Raw genomic sequence first — 20152 nt, forward strand, 5'->3', positions numbered from 1 at the left:
AATAAAGAAGAGGAGTGTTCATTTCATAGAGGTGGGTGACAGGCCTGAAGAGCACAATAAGCCGTGTAGCCAAGCTCACACAGGAGGACCCATCTGCCTCCCATCCAGTTCTGATGAGTACTAACTCTGTGAGATGATCCAAAAAAAACACTGCACATTCAAATATGTGTGCAAAATACTACATATCATACCACTTCCTCTTGAAGACTGACACATATATTAGCATTTAAGAAGGACCCCAGAAATCCTTCAACAATGGAATCTATTTAACTTTTTAAAACCCAACTTTTTCAAATGCATAATGACATCTTCCATTTTGCTTGCTTGCTTTCTGAACACTGTAGTTGTAGAATACACTCTGGGAATTAATGGCTATCTTTTCCCACTGAGACAGTTGAGATGCTTCTATAATTAGCTCAGGCTAAGCCTTTTGGATGCTGGCTCTTTAAACCCAGGCATATGGGTTGAATCGTGTACCCCTGAAATTCATAAGCTGAAGGTACTGGTAACCCCTAGTTGCTCAGAATGTGACCTTATTTGGAAATAGTCATTGCAGATGGAATGAGCTAAGACAAGCTTATTGGGGTTAGGCTTTAATGGAATACAGAAGGTGCCTTTATAAAAAGGGGAAATTTGGACACAGAGCCTCAGACACAGGGAGAACACCTTATAAAGATGGAGGTAGAGGCTGGGTGTGGTGGCTCACGCCTGTAATCCCAGCACTTTGGGAGGTCGAGGCAAATGGATTACCTGAGGTCAGGAGTTCAAGACCAGCCTGGCCAACATGATGAAACCCCATCTCTACTAAAAGTATAAAAATTAGCCGGGCGTGGTGGCACGTGTCTGTAATCCCAGCTACTCAGGAGGCTGAGGCACAAGAATCGCTTGAACCCAGGAGGTGGAAGTTGCAGTGAGCCAAGATCACGCCACTGCACTCCAGCCTGGGTGACAAGAGCGAGACTCCATCTCAAAAAAGAAAAAAAAAAAGATGGAGGTAGAGCTTGGGGTGGTGCTTTTAAATGCCAAAGCACGTCAAAGATTGTCAGCAAACCACTAGAAGCTAGGGGAGAGGCATGGAACAGATTCTTCCTCACATTCCGCTGAAGGAAGCAACGCTGCTGACACCTTGATCTTGGACTTCTAGTCTCCAGAACTGTGAGGCGATAAGTTTGTGTTAGTTTAAACTACCCAGTTTGTGGGACTTTGTTATAGTGGTCCTAGTAAACTATTATAATAGGCACTCCACATTTCAGTGATTTTTTTTTAACATCATTCTTCTCCATTAGCTAAATGACCAGAGAGAAACTCACCTGCATCCTGGTTATATAGACAGGTTTGTTCATTATGATCCAACTTGCTGTCTCATAGCAGGGTGGGATAGTCATCGACCCATCGTAAGTGATGAAACTAGAGGTCTCTGGATATAGTTCCTCTATATTAAGCCCCTGTAGTAAATATGCATCATCTAGAGAAGGAAAGAAGACTTAAAAATTAGGTTTCTTGAGAAAGGGATGGTATTGCTGACATACATACATACATACATACATATACATATACATATACATACATATATACACACACAGATATATATGTATTTCTTTTGGAATTCCAGAAGACTCTATCTGTCAGAACAGGCTGCAGTAACAAGCAGTTGTCCCCCAGATCTCGGTTGTTTTAAGCAATAAGAATGTATTTCTTGCTCACACACATGATCATTCCAGGTTGGCTGAGGCTTCCCTCCATGTCATTGTCCATGCTTTGGGACCTAGACTCTTAGAGCAGTAAACACCTGGACCTGTGCGGATCACAGTGACAGAAGCGAAAGCATGGCGAATGTGTGTTGGTTCTTAAAACTTCCATCCCAGAAGTGGCACACATCACTTGTGCTCATGTTTTGGTAGCCAAAGAAGTCACATGGTTAAGGCTGATGTTGGGGATGCGAGGAAGCACATTCCTTCCACAGGATGGGGCCCTGAGCATTGGTGAGCTGTAAGCAATGCGTTCTACCACAGGGATTGTTTGAGGAGTCCTTGATTCTAGTCCCTGAGATCTGGACTCCTAGGCATTACAGGTATCATGAGATGGACAATTAAAGCTTCTAGACCTGTTGAAATTCACCTGGTGACCATTCTCACTTAAAACAACAATAAGAAAATATTTTTGGATAGAAAAGTAAATCAGGCCAAATCCTACCATGAGATTCTATGGTTAAGCTCAACAACTGATTATTTTGTGTGTGTGTGTGTGTGTGTGTGTGTGTGTGTGTGTATTTTTCTCTCTCTCAGGTCTATGCAGATAGCCTTTTCTCTTACACCAATTTGAGGTATTCATACCCATATATCTTCTATTACTAAATACAGTAATTCAATGGTAAAAATGACATAAGTACATCACAGACTATATGGAAAAAAGAAAAAACAATTTCAGTCATCTAAAACTGTTACTATTAGCATTTTGGTGTGTTTCCTGTTAATTTTTTTAGTCAATGTATTGGTTGTATTTTTGATAAAATTGTGTGTATTGGAGTTTTAAAATATCAGTTAATTGCAATGTATCTCTCCTCTTCTCCCCTCTTCATGATCCTTCTTCCTTTCTTTTAGCACGTGATTGTTCTCTTCTGCTGGCTTCAAAAATACCATACTTAGTATTCCCATTTTTCTGGCCATTCTCTCTCAGGTTTTGTTGCTGTCTCCTGATCTTCTACCTGCTTCTCTCAATGATGCAATTCCCCAAAGATCAGTCCAAGGCTCCCTTCTTTTCTTACTCTATCCTCTCATCTGAGAGTAGCTCATCTACATCCATGGCTTCACTTGCCTTCTGCATCCCAGTGATTCCAGATCTATATCTCTAGAGGTATCACATCCCCAGGCATACCATGAGCACCCATCACTGTGGCCAGTCCAGGAGACCTGGAGAACACATGGCAGGGTCCCAAAGCCTGGCTGGCCGAGGGATGAGACTGACTCTCCAGCCCCATGGATGCACACATGTTCTCTCGTCCATGTGTCTAACTCCCAGTGGGAAAGTACTCATTCTTCAGGGGTTGAGGGAACCTCTTCAGTTTAGTATTGTGCACATATATGGTAAAGGAAGACTTTCACATATGGCTGGAACCTCACATTGACTCAATAAAATGAGTCAGGCAGATAGTAACATCCTCCACTGACAAGAAACTAAAGATCAGGGAGGCAAAGTGGGCTGCCCAAGGTCACAGGGCTAGCTGGTGACTGCAAAGTGGAAATTAGAACTCAGCTCTTCCGACCTCCAGACCAAGGTCATTTTTTCATTCAACGATTATTCACTAGAACCTCTTTGTGCTAGGCACAGTGTTAAGCTCTGGGGACAGAGCAATTAACAAGATAGATGCAGTCCTTGACCTTATTCTAGTTGGAGAGATAGATAACAAATGGCAAAATAAAAATAAGTAGGCTATAATGTCACAGTAATAAGTGCACCTTGACCTGCCTGTACTTACCTACTGATTAATGCTGCTAATTTATTTTCCTTGGCAAAGATGCCCTCTCCTCCATTTCTTCCTCTAGAAATTGCTCGTTCAGCCTTCTCCAATAAGAAAGAGTTACCTTTGCCAAGGGAACTTGAATTTCAGTGTTGCTTTGTCAATTAAATTGTGAACAAATCAATGGAGCCAATCGTTTGGAATGATATAAATACAATCACAATTTGCCTACTCCATTCAAAGCTGCCCTTCCTGGCCTCCTACTCCCTTGATGGGGTAAGGGAACCCCTCCAGGGTTCCATCCACCAAAGTCTCTGAGGAAGATAGCTTCACCAAGCTGGATTTGGAGACCAACCCTAGGAGGAAGGACTTTCTTTCACTTTTCATTTAAATGTTTCTACCTTTCCGTCAAAACACCAAGGAACGAGGACATGCTCGAGAGAGACACAGTGATTGGAATATGGCCAGCCTGGGTCTGCACTATGGCCTGTTTGGGCAGATGCTTCCATAACAAAGCCACAGTGCCCAGGGCACACACGACGTGAGGGACCTTGGGGGTTACATCAGGGGCCAACCCAATAAGTTAACATTGGATATCAGCATTTGTCTCTGACTGCCTCTTAAGTCCCTAAGATGTGTCAGGCACTAAGCCAGGTATAGATGAGTAGGAAATAATTAAGTGAATGCAGAAGGCATGACAGAGACAATGACATAAATCTGCATTGGGCCCAGAGAGAGGCTGTGAGTTCTGTCTGGGGCGAGGGTGCGGGGTACTCAGGAAGGAATGAATCGAGGAGTTGACTTGAACTGCATCTTTAACAGCAGGAGGTGATCAGTTTGTAGCTGGGAATCGGGTAGGGTGTCAAGGCCACTGTAGACAGAGCAATGCTAGAAAAAGAGTCAAGGAAGGAGTGGTGTGTACTTGGGGACAGATGGAGTGTGAGGTGCAGGGCGATGTGGAGATGGAAGGGGAGGGAGGGCTGCTGTGAGAAATGTGGCTGGTGGGGTCAGCACAGACCACACCAGAAGGTCTTCCCAGCACTACTGGGAGTTTGGACTTCATCCGGAGGCAATGCGGAACCACCGAAGGGATTGAAGCCAAGGAGTAGCATGATCACATTTGCACTTAATGAGGCTTGCTCTGATGGTGGTTTGGCCTGAAGATTAACATATTGAATAAGAGAAGGAAGCATTCAGCACATTTTTGTTAAAGGTCAATGTGATTTGTTTAACCAAGCTTGCACGAGGAACACATTGGGTACTCTAGCATGCTGTTATTATTGCATTTTATTTTATTCGGGGCGGTGGGGAGGAGTGAAGGGGGAAGTAGAAAGAGAGGCATTCCAGGCATGACTGGAGTAAAGAAAAGGAACATGTTTTGTTTCTTTGAGACTGTAACCAGCCTTTGTGCTGCAGCTATATTTGTGGAAAAGATTGGGGGCCGAGGTATAGTGTAGGCTAGGAGCAAGAGTCAAAGGTTATGCTCAGGGATTTATCACACACAGCAGGTTTCCAAAACACCGTAGTGCTGATACCCCAGACTCCATCCACTGAGGTCCTGCCAGGAGATCCCTCTTTGTCCACTCCCTCTCCAAGATGCAACAGTCATCAGAGGACATAGGCAGCTTCTGCTCTCCTGACATTTTCACTCCCCACTGTGTTCCTTCTGCAAATCTTGTTAATACTTATACTCTACCTTTTGCCCTTTTTATATCCTCACACAGCAGAACTTGGAAAGACCCAGAGTGGAGAGTGTGAGTTTTAGACTCACATCGCAGTTGGAGTGCTGACTTTGCTGCTCACTCTCCGTGTGTCCTTGGACCCACAGGTAACCCTCTGAGCCTCAGTTTCTACATTTGCAATAAGCAGATGGTTGGAGTACTTTGCTCACGGGGTTGTTTGAGGAATAAACAGGATCATGCTTTTCAAGCACCTAGCATAAGGTGTGGTCCAGGTTTGTCACATCCTCCTACCCTGCCCTGGAATAACTACTGCTCCTCTCCTCAAGGACTCCCTGGCTTCCCCAGCTGGGCCAGTGCCCTCCTTTTTTGCTGTATTTACTGAATTAGCTTGTCAATCATTATTTGCCTATTTGACTGTCCCTGCTAAGCTGTGAGCCTTCAGGGGAAGGGTTTGCATCTTGTATCTCTAAGCCCCCAAATGCCAGCATGAGTCCACCACATACTGGGTGTTTAGTAAACACTGCTCGAATGAACAAATGAAATGGTTTCTGCTCAGCAGCTCTACCTGCTGGCAGTGTTGGGCAAAAGCAAGGGAGGAAGAGACGACATCATTTATCAGATGAGGGGAAGCATCTCTGAGGCTCCAGTCAGCATCCTTAGCTTAAATACATGCTGCCTACCATCTCCCCCCTATGTCTCACACCCTAAGACATCAGGGTGAGATTGCCTGCCCTGTTTCCATCTCCATATGCTATTACCATGTTTCCATACCAAAGACTCCTCTACCTTCATATTTACATTGCTGAGTCAGTGCGCATTTAACGTGTAATGTTTGTTTTCATGACTCATCATGCTGCCTCAGAGGCTGCCATTAAATCAGTGTCTATCTTTTAGGTATTGGGATTTGAAAGCCACTGGCTAACTTTCTGCATCTTCTTTTCTCTCTGTTGAAGCTTGCTTTGTATGTTTGATAGGACAGAAGCAGAGGGACCCAAGAAAAGAACATGAGTAAAACAGAAGTTTTCAGCCCTAATGTCAAGGCACACTGGGGTGTTTTCAGGGCTAACTAGGCCAGGAACTAGCTTTTAGTCACAAACTATCTTGTCCTTGCAGCATCCAGCAGAAAACCATTGTTTGGTTCTTGTCAGCGTTATCGTCTGGGCATTATAGACAGAAAGTAGACTGAGGACCAATATACCAGAAGGGAGATTCTCCTCTCTAAACTTCCAAGGCTCTATTCATGAGTAAGGATGGCAAAGATCTAGAGGAGGTCAGAGTTGTTTGTGAACAAAGATGCAAATTTGGGGTGAAGCTCAGAGGCCAGTGGGGGAGTGTTCATGCATGTCTCTGCTTGCTTTAAGGATGTTTATTGGTGGAAGTGAGGACAGATGTTCAAATAAAGTTTCATGAATAGTTTTGCAGAGAGGTTTCTCTACCTATCCCCTCTTTCTCTCTCTCTCTCTCTCAGCTCTCTCTCTCTCTCCTCTCTCTCTCTCTCATATCTCTATCACCTACTTACCTGTCATATGAGAAAATAGCTTATAAAGGGCAAATCCTAGATGTCAAGTCAAGAGTCTTAATTCAAGTCTGAGTTCTAGTGGTAGCTTTGCCAGCAACTCATTCTTCCTTCATGGAAAAGAATGTAACCTCTTACTTGAGGATACCAAACAGTCCTGGAAAATTGCATCTTCAGGTATTAAACATTCTATGGATCCGAAACCATCTTTCAACATAAGCAAGCTTGTTAGCCAAATTTATCTTAGGTAGGTCAAATTTTTATATGAGAGTGTTGTAATTTTGTATGTGTTGGCTGTATCTTTATAGTAAAGGAGGACCCCTTGGATCTTGAATAATCAATAAGTGTAGAATATATGTGTGTATTTTATCACCCAATTTTATTATTTCAAATGACTGCAGAAGTTGACAGCTGAACCTTTGGTTTTTTGACATGTTCTTGATGAACCTGTGATTTATCTTATACTGAGTTCTTAGTCGTGGTTACAACTCCCAAGCTGACTTTTTCTTTTTGTAGGAGACGTACACTATGATAAAATGCCTAGGACCACTTGGGGGAGTCGGGGGAAACTTTCCCTCAGTCTGAACTTTTTTTTTTCAGTCTGCATTTAACAGGCAGCCTCTGTTAAATGCATTGTGCTTACTCATGTGGACCACTGATGAGATTTAATATTGCCCGGCTTCCTGCTTATGAAGTTCCCATTTGAAGAGAACTATTCCAATGAGAACAAGGCACGGTAGTTTCAGAGATCAATACTGGACTTGTTCCTGATCAATATGGAACTATTTGGCAATTTTCTCATATAGAATGACATTTCCTCTTGTAATCTGAGGCAAATTCAACTGAAATGAAAAAAGGCAATTACTAAAGAATGAAGTAATATGATATTTTGTTTTACACAAACAATAAATGATAAAAGGGACCTCTGAGAATTGGATTCGTGGAGGTAAGCTGCTCCTGTTCTGTTCCTTGCTGACGTGAGTAACTACTTAGATTGCAACATGGAAAGTGGTGTGCTGCGTTTTGCATTCTGTGAAAGCATTTCCAAAGCCGTTCCTTTGAAATGAAAGTACAAGTTCAATTAAGCATAGAGAAAGGCACCAGGAGCAATATGCTTAAACTCCTTGGTGATATTTCGTCACATTTAACACCACGTCCCTCTGAGGAGCGGCGCATAAAACACTTCCCAAAGAACTGAGAAGTATAAGGCAGTTCCAAGTTGATCTGTCCTTGCCTACACATGCATCTTTTAGCTGAATAGAAGATCTGGGGGTTGGGGGAAGTAAAGCAAAGTTATAAACAGGTAAGACTGAAAAAGATGCTTTAAAGGGCTTGTGCCACGTGTCAAAGCGCTGAATCTGAAAGCTCTCCTCCAGATGCCTTCAGTGGTGTGGTTTTATTTCCTTAGAGGAAATACATTAGGACAATAGCCATATCTTTTTTTTTCCTTATTTTTTATTTGAGATGGAGTCTTGCTCTGTCGCCCAGGCTGGAGTGCAGTGGCATGATCTTGGCTCACTGTAACCTCCGCCTCCCAAGTTTCAGTGATTGTCCTGCCTCAGCCTCCCGAGTAGCTGGGATTATAGGTGCCCACCACCATGCCCAGCTAATTTTTGTATTTTTGGTACAGACAGGGTTTCACCATGGTGGCCAGGCTCGTCTTGAACTCCTGACTTCAGGTGATCTGCCCATCTCAGCCTCCCAAAGTGCTGGGATTATAAGTGTGAGTCAACACGCCCAGCCACCATACCTTTTTAAATTTGAAATTTGTGATCGTTTGGATTCTTATTGGACTAAATGAATGGGGGCATGCGACACTGAAGGAGAATGAAGCTACCAAAATAATACTGTCCTAAGATGTTAGAGGAAAGTGTTTTATATGCAGTGTTCTAATAACTGTTCCCTCTTACCCACTTAAGAAGCCTCTTTGCACTTCATTGGTCACTAGTTTAGCCACTTGAAAACAGCATAAAATCTCTTTTTAAAAAATAATGCTGGCTTAATGAAATTGGGTAGATAATAAAATAAGAATACTACTTTTTATTTAATTGGGATTCTGTTAATTAATGCCAATTAATTAACACAAGAAAAATGGAGGGATATTAGCCTTATTCCAATACACTACGTTAAAAAATTAAAATACTTCAAGTAAATTACCAATATCTCCTCCAGAAAATCCATTCGGAAAATCTATTTTTCAATGTCATGATTTTAGTCTTAACCCCCAGTCTGTTGAAGGGGAATTTGACTTTAATAAAATGGGTTTTCTTTAGAAGACTTTCTAAATTCAGCCCGAATTTAGTTCAGGCTAGTTTTTTTCATTGTCAGTCCCAGTTAGAGTGTTTTATAAGTTTCACTCAGACATATGAAATCTAAGCTTGCAAGGAAAGTAAAGTAGTAGAATCTCATTAAATCATCACCATCCACTGCATGGATTCAAGCACAGGAGCGGTATTTCATTTAAAACAAGCAAATTCTGTTGACTCTGTGTCCTGTATTGCATTTACCTTCAACATAATTTTTATTTGGCATCATAGCAACCTGCCTCCTCCCCTGAGGGAAGCTGGATTTGATAGCCAGGTACCTTAAGACAACTTAGAAATACACGTTCATTTTACACCTAGTTTATACCACTCATTGTTCAGGCATTTGACTCATTACCTTGTTTGATTCTCATGCCAACCATCTCAACGTCAGCATTAATATCTTCCTCTTACAGATCGGGGAGGTGTTTAGAAGCTTGCTTAAAGTCAGGCAACAAAAGGAAGTGGTAGAGCCAGGATAGGAGCCCAGATCTCTCTTCACTAGAACACACTGCCTCCCATGGGTGTGGTGCCTTTACCAGCATGGCATTTAGCCTCCAAAATTCCCAATCCTCTTGGCGAGATTCTCCCTCTTTCCTCCTTGTATGAATTTCCTGGCATTGATTTTTTTTGTAACTGGCTCAAAAGAATGATTTTGCACAGTTCCCCCCCTTTTTTTTTTTCCTGGTCATTCATTCTGTGCCCAATCCTACAAACCGGGCAAATGGACTGTGTCTCTTCCAGCTGCCATGTTGTGATTTCACCCCGCTGCCTCCATGTGTGCAGCAGCTCCCTGCACCACCTCAGTTTGCTGATGAGGCAGCCACACGGGAGCCTCTTCCAGGGTGGGATTTTAAAGATATCTTTAGAAGTGATTTTCAATCCTAAGTCATGGAGATTTGAGTTGCTCTTTCAAAAGTGAGGACATGTCCCGCCTCTCTTCTCTATTTATTCTTACTCTCAGGATTTCACCAACGTTTAAACGCCATCTGGATGCCAACGTCTTCCACATTTATATCTTCAGTTCTCCCTCCTGAAATCCAGACTCATATATCCAACTGCCTACTCCACACCTCTTCTTGGGTACCTTATAAACATCTCAAGCTGAACATGTTCAAAATTTCTGATTTCCTTCCCACCCACGGATACGCTTCATCCACAGTCTCCCCATCTCAGTGGATGAAAATGTCTTCTTTCCAGTTGCTCAGGCTAAAAGTCTTACAGTCATCCCTCACTCCCCTCTTTCTCTCACATAAAACATCAGATATATTATCAGATATATCAGTACATTTCTTGGCTTTTTTTTTTTTTTTTTTGACAGAATCTTGCTTTGTTGCCCAGGCTGGAGTGCAATGGTACGATCTCAGCTCACTGCCACCTCCGCCTCCCGGGTTCAAGTGATTCTCCTGCCTCAGCCTCCCAAGTAGCTGGAATTACAGGCGCGCGCCACAATCCCAGCTAATTTTTGTATTTTTAGTGGAGATGGGGTCTCACCATGTTGGTCAGGCTGGTCTCGAACTCCTGACCTCGTGATCCACCTGCCTCGGCCTCCCAAAGTGCTGGGATTACAGGTGTGAGCCACTGTGCCCGGCCTCTTGGCTTTTTCTTTAAAATATATCCAATTATTTCTCACCATCTCCCTGCCAATCCCCATCAGCCCGGTCATGGTCAGTGCCATCGTCTCATTATTTGGGTTGCTGCAATCCTCTTCTATTGTGGACTCTGCCCCTTGTAGTCTATTCTCAACCAAGCAATGAGGCGATCCTTTTGTCAACAGATGATGTCACTCTGCTTAAATTCCTAGATTGACTTTTTGTTACAATGACCTTCAAGGGGCAGATTTTCAGAAGACTGACCCCCTCTAGAATTAATCTCTGTGCCTTCTCTGGTGACTATATATGTCAGTAATGGCAATGTCACTGTGTCCCTCTGAATGACTGATTTCCACTGGAGGTACCATGTTCAGGGCCAGGCAGGAGTTGGAGAGAGCTTAGGTCAGGATGTACTTGAACTGCCAAAGTTCCCATCAGTTCTGTGGTTAGTATATGTCCCTTTCAAGTGGAGGCACATGCAAATAGCAAAAAGATGCTTCTTCAAACTGAACCAAAGTTGGAATTAAGAGAAAAACATGCTGACAAGTTTCATGGAATGTGAAAACATCTTCACTGCAATTAGTTTTAAGACCCTGGAGCTAAGCTTTCCTTCCTCCTTAGGGAGAAAGCATGATAGGAAGGAAAAGCAGAGGAAACAGTACCCAGGAAGACCTGTATTTGGATACTTGCTCTTCTACTATGGAAGAATATTTTTCAGGAAATGTTCACTTCTTCCTCATCTTCATCTCCTTGGCAGGATTTTCATGTTGAGCTTGGCCATATGGCTTGCTTTGGCTTGTGGAAGTGGACAGAGTGAGTGTGTGAGTTTCATGACTAGGCCTTAAGTCACATCACTTATTTCTTCCCTCTACCATGAGAACTACTTGCCCTGGATATCATCTTGATCCTAGAACAATGAGAGTCACGTGGAGCTGAGCTGCTTCAGCTCACTTGCAGACCTGTAGCTGGAAGCAGAGCCACCCCTACCAACCCAAGGAGGGAGCAATAAGAAATCAATGCTTATCATTGAATGCTTGTTTATTACGCAGAAGTTGCTGACTGATACAGCCATTAAATGTGTGTCATTGGTCAAATGACTTCACCTCTTGAAGCCTTGATTTTTCCCATCTGTAAACTGGGGATGGCAATCATACCGCTCTGAAGGACTTCGTGAGCACTAGGTAAGGAGCCTGTATGTAAAGCATAGACCTTGGTGTGTGGAAAGTGCTCAGTAAGCATCATCTCCATATTCCTGGGGCTCAGCACGTTGCAGAGTGGATACTGCATCTAAATGAGCAGAGCAAATTGAAGCTATGCTGGGGTGCAGTTCTGGGTAGCAACAGTAGAATGGGCAGGGGTGGAGGTTAGGTGTCCCTCAGTAGCATGGTAGAAATGGTGGGGTGGGGGGTTGATTTCTGTCTCTCGAACATTTAGAAGGACAGAAGCAGGATACCCTGATAGGGCCCCCTGAGTTTTCTTCATCTTAACCTGAATTTATGGGCCAGTGCTGGCCTAACCTGCTGCCTGTTGGAAAGCCTCGGGAGGGACTTCCAGTCTTATGTTTCCCACCCACTGGCTGTGTTCTAGTGAATGACTCCTACTCCAGACTCCCCTGCCTGCCACTGGGCTAACCTTCTGGCTGCCCTAGGGACAAAAGAGAGCTGTGGTTTTCTGCTGCGCAAATCAATTCATTTCTGCCGCAGTGTCCTGGGCAAAGCAGTGTCAGGGTCATTCTCATGAATCGGCCATCATTATTCCTGCAGTGCTGCTCCCTTCAGGTATGTGACAAAGGTCACTACAGAGGACACCTCAATTACTCCCTGCTGAATTATAGGAGCACAAAATTCCTGTTATTAGGGGGCCTAAATCAGCTATCTTTCCCCATGCAGGCCAGGATCTCTTTATCTTGCTTTGGCTCCCCTTTCTTTTCCCTGGGCCCTGAGAGGTGTAGAGTATGGGGGTCAGAAGGAGAGGGTGCTCCTGCTGTCTTCTATTTGCATTTCTAGGAATGTGTCTTCAGAGGTGAAAAGGGTGTTTAAATGTCTGCCTGCCTTCTGCATAAACACCTTAACATGGCTCAAGATCCGGCTCCAGAACATCTTTCTTGCCACTCCCTCTGCCCCGTCACAGCTCCTGAAAGAGGCCATTCATCCTTCTATTCACCCAGGCCATCACCAATGCTTATTGGGCGTGCCTCGTCTTAGGCACTGAGACGAAGAGCTGATGAAGACAGAGTTCCTCCCTCTGAACTCTTCACCGGCCTTCAGTGCTCTCCAGGTTTTGTGCATGTGGCTCCCCACACTTGGAATGCTTTTCCTTCCCTCCCTCCCTTTCTTCCTTTCCTCCCTTCCATCTGTCTTTTCCTTCTTCCCTGCCTCCCCTTCCTCTCCCTCCCCTCTCTTGCTCCTCCCTTGGTGGCACAAGCCACATCACTTAATATTAATCAGACCAGTGCTGGGGGATGGGTGGTGGGGTGGGGAGGAAAGTCCCTCTAATGATTGACTCTGCAACTGGTAATCTGTTAGACTGTGTGTTGGGGCTTAATGTGTGATTTCATGCATTTTCACGGTCTCTAAATTGCAAATCCAAGATTATTTGAAAACATTTTATTTAATTTTCATGCTTTTTTCATCAAAAAAGTTAAAAGAATAATAATCTTTTATGGGCAGTTATAAATGTGCTATTTACACACAAGACAGAAATATCTCCCTTAGCTGAGCAATCTAAGTGTGTGCTTAGAGAGGACTCCATAAGAATACTAATGAGAAAAGGCAGAATATGCTTGGAGACAACCTAATTCATTCTTCTGGGCAATGTCTCTCTAGGTGGAGCGGGATTCTCCAGGTTCATTCCTCAGCCCTACCAGTCTCCCAGCCTCTGCAGATGGGAGGGACTTGGCAGTGAGCACGTGGTAGTTGTAGGGCTGCTGTCTGGGCCATCTTTACATCCCTGGAGCTTCGCTTGGTGCCTGTCATGGGGCAGGCATGCAGGAAATGTTTGTCGAATAAGTGAGTAAACGGCTGAGTGAAGCATTCTCCATACTCTCCCTTGGCAGTCCAATGTGAGAGCTGTACACATTCATTTTTTTTTCTTCACATCACCATTGGAGAGAGAAGCAGCAGACACAGCTGAGCTCCTGGCTTGGTGAAGGGCATGCCAAGGGGATGTGGGTGCTTGGATGTTTGCCAACTGTTTTTCACTTTTGTGAGAATCATTATTTACCTATTGCTTGATTCAGAATCCCAGACCTAGAAGGACTTTAGAAACTTGAAGTTCAACTTTTTTACTTTATAAGATGAATGACAGAGTCAAAGTGAGGAAACTCCTTGATGAAGGACAAAGCCAGGACTTGAATCCCAGTATCCTACTCGCTCCTAATTAGGTAAAGACAATCTTTTTTCCTCATATTATTTCTTTCATCTATGGGTGTGTGCTGTCTCACCCAACTTTTCCCAAATCCTGCACCTTCTGGGATTGCTGGAGATGACAGCAGCATCTTTTTCCTTCCTCCTTCAACTTTGCACTGTTCTCTCTTTTCTGCATAATGAGTCTGGGGATAAAACACTCTGGAAACCCAAGGAAACTGGACAGAGTCCTCTACATCCATGGGCCACACATGTGGCTGAAGAGAGATGCTATCCTGTCTCTGCCTGGAAAGGAGACCCAGCCACACACAGAGAAATGGTCTAGCCGAGGGCTTCTGTAAATGTTGCGATTGGATCCATAGTACCTGATGAGGGCTTTCTCAATCCCGTAATTGGCAAAGCCCCAACTGTGACCAGCTGACACGGTGGAGCGTGTCAGCCAGCAGAGTCCCCTGGCTCATTACCAATCTATGGGATAACGATGACCACCATAGTCATAATCATTATCACCTTAGGCATGGATGACAAAGGCACCCTAGGGACTTCTGCTTGAAATGAGCTGCTTCTTAGCCAAACCCTAATCTCCAGAGTGACTTTCTACAGAACTGCAGGATCATGAAACTGAAAAGGGCCCATGGAGATCATCAGTTCTGGCTTCCCGCCTTCAGGCAGGTCTAACCTTTATAGAATAGTTGCTGTGGAGGAAATTGAACCAAACTTACTTTTATATGTTATTCTTGTGATAGTATCTCTGTTGAGCATTCGATTAAGAAATGGGTTTGATGAATCAGAAACCTGGAGGAGAAAAGAAAATATTAATGACTGGGCATCACTCTTGCAGGACAAACATCTCCCCGTGACATTCACTTATTCATTCATAGTTACTGAGTATCTACCATGAGCCAAACACAATGACAGCTGCAAATTCAGAGAGCAAAGCCAGAGTCCCTATTCTCAAGGACAGCCCAGTCTAGAGAGGAAGACAGGTAAGTGAACAAACTGTTCTCATATAGTGTGAAGAGTGCTATGATTGAGTCATTGGTGTAATGATGTTGGAGGAAGACCAGCCACCACCTGAGAATCTAAGTCATGAGTCTGAGAGGATGGGTAGAAGTTAACAAAGCGTTCTGGTGATAGAGTGTGAAAAGGGATGAAAGGCAAGGAAAAGCATTTCATACAGAAAATCTTTACATACACGGACATGGGGAAGTGAGAACCAGGCATGCTCATGCAAAGACTTCAGTGTACTTGGAGCTGAGGGTATGGGGAAGGATAGGAAGTGAGCCTAGAAAGATTGGCAGGGGCCAGATCATGTCAGGCTTTTAAGCAAGGTAGGGACTGACATGTTAGGAAGGGGAAATTCATCTACGTAGAGGGTGAGACATAAAGAGTACCCAGAATAGAGGTATAAGGAAATGGAAAAAAAAAAAAACTGAAAAGTATCACTGCTCATTATTGCATGAATTGAGTATATCATAAGCCATGTAATTCAATCAACCAACCATCCATCCATCCAGCCAGCCAGTCAGCCAGCCAGCCAGCCAGCCACCCACCCAACAAATAAATATTTGCAGAGGGTCTATTATGGGCCAAACATTGTACCAGATGTTCAGGGATCAGTTCCCATTTTATGCCTATGCCCTTATAGCTTCAAATTCCTCTGTTGGGAGAAGAAACCAGGTTTCCAGGGGCTTCAGCAGGGAACCATCATTGATGAGACTGTGATGTGGCCCTACATAAGAAAAGGGTTTTCTTAAAAACACCTGTTTACTCAGCCTTTTCTGGGGTACCATTGTTCATCCTAGTCATTTCTCTCCTACCTTGCTTAGCTCTGCTCTGTAATTTATGTCTCAGTGGCTAATCGGATGTTGTGACACATCAACATTTTAAATCTGATTTATCTGAGGGTTGGAAAAATTGCAGCAGATGATTATTATTATTAGATAAGCAACAGGTAATTTTAGCTTGGAGAAAGCACAGACTGTTTATTTTCCCTCCATCTGTCTCCCTTTTTGCGGTTTCCTGGCTGTGTTGTGGTGAGACACACACCAAAGGGAGCTTGGTGAGTGACAATGCCCAGTGGAGGTAAAAGTCCATCCCTAAATAGAAAAAGTCCCAAATTGAATACTGCTGCTCCCCTCAGTGCTATATTCAACATCTACTTTGACATCCTCTTCAGCCATTTAAAAGATAGCTTGAAGCCTGCTCCTGGTGCTGATGCACCCCATGAAAGAAAGATGGCTAGGAATATATTGTCGTGGCAGGTAAGGAATCTGTTATGTACCTTACTTCCTGGGTGCCTTGAGCTCCTGGTACCTGGTGAGTCTGGTCAGCCCTTGCGTTGGGAGCAGACCATTTTGAGCTGATTAAAAATAATTGAAAAATTTCCAAAGTGCACACAGATGATTTGTGGGCTCTAGTGTGTTGGCTGCGTGGGTGAGAGGATAAAATATGTACTTGGTATAAGTGAGCTTAAGTGGGAAGTTAATGGTGTGTGATTGAGCAGCAATTACAGCCAAATCTCAGTTCCCTGTGGTCACAGCAAGGGTGGGGGATTTGTGGAGGACAGAGATAAATAAAACTCATAGATAAGCAAGTATCTCCTTTTAGAGAGTAACTCCAGCTTTTCTACGGCTCAGCTTTTAGCCAGGGTGATAACTCTAGGACTAAACTACCAGGATGTGGGGCTTGTCATATCCCACTCCTGCCCACCCTGCTGGGAAGGGAAGGCAGAGAGTTCAGAAGGAGGGGAGGACAACTACAAGAGGCTGTGCACCCTTAGGGACCAAGAGCTTTGTTCATCTTACTTCTGGATACCAGTGCCTAGCAGAGGGCTGGCCTGTAGTACCTCATGCTCCATCAGAGTTTTGAGATGAGTGAATGGTCAGTCACAGCTTAAATAACTCATGGTGGAGTTGATTTTCTGGGAGTTGATTATATGGAGGGAAGACAGAAATGTTGTGGCTTATTTTGAGATCTAGCAAGAAAGTTTCAGGTCTGCTCAGGGAAAGAATGGCTTCATCCCTAGGAGCTAAACTGACCTGAGAAGATGCAGGAGCTAGTTATTATCCCTTCACTGACCTCAGGGTCTACAGCCTAAGTTTCTTTCAACAGCCTGTGGGCAAGCAACTAGGACTTGCAAACCCCAGCTGCTAGTCACCAGCTCGGTAGGAATGAACATTTCTGTAGGAGCTTGTGAAACACACCAGTAATTTGTTGTTGGCTTCCCAGTGTATCCGTCACTCTGTCAGCTGTCATGTGCCTGTGCCTCCAGAATGACAGTCACTGACTCAAGTTTTCAGACACATGAGGTAAAGTCAGGACCAAGGCCGAGACACTCTCCAAAGGACAGGAATTGCTGGGGCAGGCAGGATTTGTGCTGGGAAAGTCATAGGGGGAAGTGAGCTCCTGGACACACATGACAATATTGTGACCTATCTACGGCTTCACAGTGAGTGCAGCCTAGGTTGAATGTACAAATTGGTTATCAATGCCATAATCAGGGCTTGATTAAGAGATACAGGAATTTGCCCTGTGCTTATGAGTAGCATGGGGTTGTGGGGAGTGTGGGAAGAATGTTTTAAAATGTCATGTACTCCCTTCTTGCCCTCACTTGCTCTCTCCCAGCTCTATTGGAGAGGCATAGAATGAGTAAGCCATTCTTTCATGAGTATTAAAGTCAGGGAAGACTTGGATCCTCTCCTGGCTGGGCTGTTATAAGCGACATGAACTTGGGTGAAATCCCAAAGGTTCTCTGAATAATTTTACTCATCTGTAAGATACAACACGAATGTTCAACCTCTGAGTTTATTACTAAACAACAAAATAGATGTAAAATACATATCATAGTGTCTGGCATTCAGAAATCTACTGTTTATTATTCCAGGGTTTGTGATGATGCCAGGAGATACCATTAGAATCTGTGCTGGGACCAGTTTCCTTTGAGATGTCATGTCAAGTATCACAAAGGCATGAAAGCCTAAAAATATGCTTCCCTGGCCAAATGTCCCTTCCTCTCTTTGTTAATGACAAACCAGAGGAGGTTGAGGTTAGTGGCCAGGGATAGCAACATGCCATGGATGCCCCATCCAGCCCCTGCCCAGTGCATAGGTCTGCCCTGATCTGACCAAGGGGAGGGTGAGGAAGTTAGGAGGGGGCATGGCATGGATGACCAGGGAGGGTGAAGTGCCTATGGCACGGGGTAATTCTTTTGTGGGGGCGGGGAGAGGGATCAGTGCCCCAGGTGCCCATTCTTCTGAGTAATAATGATGTCATCATGACAGCCCTGTTAAAATTCCCTGGTGGCAGTTTTGATCTATTGATCATCTCCATCAGATTCCCAATTCCGATTGGGGCACTTTCTCTAATGATCTGGCCAAAACATCCCCAGGGGCTAGCATGGTGACTGCTAATGTTTGGAACTGCCACACATTGCTTTTTTTTAATTTTTATTTTTCTAATTAGAAAAGCAATTTCTTTTTTTATTAAAAAATTTGCATACCTGCTTCTCTCTACATCTGCTAAAATGTTAAAGGTAATTAGTATTTTTTTTTAAACAAATTAGAATGTGATTGGTTGGAGATTTTATGTTGTCGTTGTTGACTGTTAGGGAGATGTGGAGTTTCCTCAAAATGTCATAAAGTCAGTGTGGGTAATCTTATTACCAGGGAGGCTTATGAAGGAACGGGAGAGCGAGAGAGAAAGATGATGCTCAGAGCAATTGTGAGGAAGCTGGAAGGAGCTATTTAGTGCAGTGCCTGGAGGGGAGAGACATCTCACTTCTTCCTATGTTTACAAGGGGCAGCTGAATGGTGAACAGGACTTTAATCCTGTGGGGCATTAGTGAGCCACCCACCCTTCTAGTATTATATCCTTCTGATTTCACTGCATTAGGTGGGTCCTAAAGCCTGTCCCTGGATCTAGCCCCCTTTTTCTTTCTAGGACAGAAGCTGCTTGAATCCTCAGGCCCAGATGCTCTGAAATGGAGATTATCATTTTTGCATCTCACTGCAGGGGGCCTCATTTTTCATAAATCTCATGTATATAAAAGGCACCATCCCATAGTTTTCTTAGGCATGGATAGCACCCCTTTTAATATTTCTAACTCCAACAGAGACCGTAAATTGGTATTCTGATTGAGGTGGGGATGGTGAGAAGAATGAAGGAATGCAAGAGACTTACTTTTATAAATATAGAAACTACCACCAATCCATTTGGACTCTTTGCAGCTTCTGTGACATTCGTATATAGCTCATGGTTATAGTGGATGAGCTGCACCTGGCAGGAGGGAAAAACAAGAATCAGAACAATAATCCAACATTAAAAGGTATGAGGCATAGCACCTGCCCCTACATAAGGGTGAACTGCAAAGTATATTGAGGAACAATTTGGAAGACAATTTTAATTGAAGGGATTTCAGAGGGATGTGTGTGCATATGTGTGTAAAATGCATGTACACGCACACAAAAATACCCATACATATTTGCAAATGTTTTCTGGTAACAAGCATGCTTTTCATAAGCTCAGAGCCCATCTGGCTCTGGCTCCATCCCAGGACATTTCCCCTAAAGCGTGTGTAAAGTGAATTTTCCTTATTAGGAACGGAACTGCCCTGTAGGGGTGGATGTTGTGTCCCTGCTGCACCACCAACAGCTGCCACTGGCAGCCAGTAAATCTTCCTTGCAGCCTCGGAGCAAACAGGGAGCTGTTAGGTCCTGAGTCAGCCATGACTGGGATGAAACTGGCCAGCCTGCAAGATGCAGTAGTAGCTGATGGATCAGGCTTCTGATGCACCAGCCTGTCCCGGTCATCTGGTTGTGTAGGACTTTATTTCCTCCTCATTCAATAAGGATCAGTCCACCTGTTGAGCCTTTTTCCTGTTACTTAATTTTTTTAAATTCATTTTTAAAAATCGTGTATAAACATACATATATGTTCAAACAGATGCTCCAGCAATTTTTAGCCACATGATCAAGTTACCCCACATCACTGGGATCAATTGTTTCCTCTGAAAAATGGATATGATGATCTTTCCTTAAAATTCATCATCTCAGGGCTGTGATTTTAAAACAGTTTTTTCTTAACAGTATGGAAGCCTAATTTTTTTTTTTTTTTTAAGTTGGAGTCTCGCTCTGTCACCCAGGCTGGAGTGCAGTGGCGCGATTTCAGCTCACTGCAACCTCCGCCTCCCAGGTTCAAGTGATTGTCCTGCCTCAGCCTTCCAAGTAGCTAGGACTA

The 20152-nt window shown here is 43.8% G+C and overlaps 1 protein-coding gene across 3 annotated transcripts in view; it reads right to left on the reverse strand.

Moving 5' to 3' along the window:
• The window catches only part of CA10 (carbonic anhydrase 10), a 529711-nt gene that overhangs the window by 4232 nt on the left and 505327 nt on the right, over positions 1 to 20152 (reverse strand). For all 3 annotated transcript variants that reach the window (NM_001082533.1, NM_001082534.2, NM_020178.5), the window contains 3 exons: positions 19097 to 19192; positions 14638 to 14710; positions 1311 to 1465 (listed from right to left, as the gene is read on the reverse strand). In NM_001082533.1, the coding sequence (NP_001076002.1) occupies positions 1311 to 1465; positions 14638 to 14710; positions 19097 to 19192 (324 nt within the window). The remainder of the gene's footprint in view (positions 1 to 1310; positions 1466 to 14637; positions 14711 to 19096; positions 19193 to 20152) is intronic.

This window comes from Homo sapiens, chromosome 17 (assembly GCF_000001405.40).
Source record: "Homo sapiens chromosome 17, GRCh38.p14 Primary Assembly".
In the NCBI taxonomy this organism is placed as follows: domain Eukaryota; kingdom Metazoa; phylum Chordata; class Mammalia; order Primates; family Hominidae; genus Homo; species Homo sapiens.